The sequence below is a fragment of the Homo sapiens genome, chromosome 4, assembly GCF_000001405.40.
Source record: "Homo sapiens chromosome 4, GRCh38.p14 Primary Assembly".
NCBI classification, from domain to species: Eukaryota; Metazoa; Chordata; class Mammalia; order Primates; family Hominidae; genus Homo; species Homo sapiens.
This window is the reverse complement of record NC_000004.12, coordinates 166661307-166662902: the sequence shown is the minus strand read 5'-3', so window position 1 is coordinate 166662902 and position 1596 is coordinate 166661307. Positions and strand designations below refer to the sequence as shown.

Genomic DNA, 1596 nt, shown 5'->3' with positions numbered 1-1596 from the left:
TATATTTTTGAGGGAAGTTAAGCACTTGTGTAACAGCTTAACGTATGTAGCATACATTCTACATTCACTTTGCAGTGGGATTTCAATATCAAAATAAGGGAGATTTTGGCTCAATATGTCATATGGTGAACTACTGGGCACAAAGGAGGTTTTTGCATATCCTCTATAAGCCAGTGGAAACTGGCTGGAGATTTGTGGCAGTTTATCATGAAAGAAAGTTTGTAAGGCTCATCCTTAGTCTATTGAAAGTTGTGGCAGGACTGCAAAGCAGGAGAAGGTATCAGAATGGTAAGGAGAAAAGCCTGCATTGGGTGGTCTTTAAGCAGGAAGCTACAAGTTTTTTAATTAGCAGGTTCCAGGTGGTCAGTCAGCCACCACCAGGTGTTCTGTCTGAGGTCAGTTGGGGAATTTTCAGCCGTAGCTGTTTTGACATGTTTTTGAGAAATCGGTTCTGCTTAATTACAGGAATAAAAACCTTGTGACAGGTAGTGACATGTATTTTCTTTGTGAGCCCAGGGATATATGACCAGCTTCTCACCCTGTCGTGGCCATTTGGTTCTGTTTTGTAGTTTCAGTATGTCTCTTTTTAGCCAGAGAGTTCATTGTGTTTGTCTGCTGAGGTGTGTTTTAACAATAGTCAGTATACTAATTTCAATACCAAGAGTCATTGTAGGTTAGTTTTCACTGACTTTCTTTTTTGATTGTTTTCATTTATATTCAATTTTTTCTTGTCTTTGGTTAACATTGTTTTGCCTAAATAATTTTGGAAACAAGGCTAACATTTTCTTTTTACTGAGGGAATTTTTATCTGATTATATAAGGTATTTGTTGGCACAAGCAATCAAGTGGGTGTATCCACGTAAATATAAACAAAAGGTAGACTATAAGAAAAAATGCATCATTATTAGATATAGAGAATACCACTAACTAATTTTAAGAGCATTAGTGAGACAAAAGATTTAACAATTTAAGACACATGAATTTCTGATAGTACATGGAATAAAAACTAATTAAACTAGAGAGAGCAATTGATAAATTTCCTTCTATTGTTGGATGTTTTACCATAACTTTTTCCATATAATGAGACCCTGTCTATATCCCCAAAACAAATAAATATAAAATAATTAAAAAAATAAAAGAGACAAAAAACCAATGGTTATAGAATATTTGGACACAATACACAGGCTTAATCTAATGCAATTATAAAATATGAATGGAGCTTATTAGAGACTACATGTTCTTCTCAAGGAAATCTAGAACATTTACAAAAATTAATCCTGCACTAGACCATTAAGCAAATCCCAACAAAGTTCAAAGAACAGTTTCATACAGATAGAGGTAATATTCAAAATATTTATCAACTGTTACACCATGGGGCTGATAAATTTCAAAAGATGACTGACCACTTAGATGAATGCTTGATTAATAATTATAAAGTAATACAGTCAGCTCTTGCATAACTGTGGCTTTCCCACCACAGATTTAACAAACCATAGATAGAAAATATTTTTTAAAAAGCAATTAAAATATATAGTATAACAATTATTTTCAAAGCATTTACATTGTATTAGATATAAGTAATCTAGAGATGATTTA

The 1596-nt window shown here is 32.9% G+C and overlaps 1 annotated feature.

Moving 5' to 3' along the window:
* Positions 356 to 415: an enhancer, noted in NCBI's record as "active region_22121". NCBI's record gives its function as "activates an Ori minimal core promoter by ATAC-STARR-seq in GM12878 lymphoblastoid cells {active_cell/tissue: GM12878}" and the evidence as "EXISTENCE:reporter gene assay evidence [ECO:0000049][PMID:35858748]".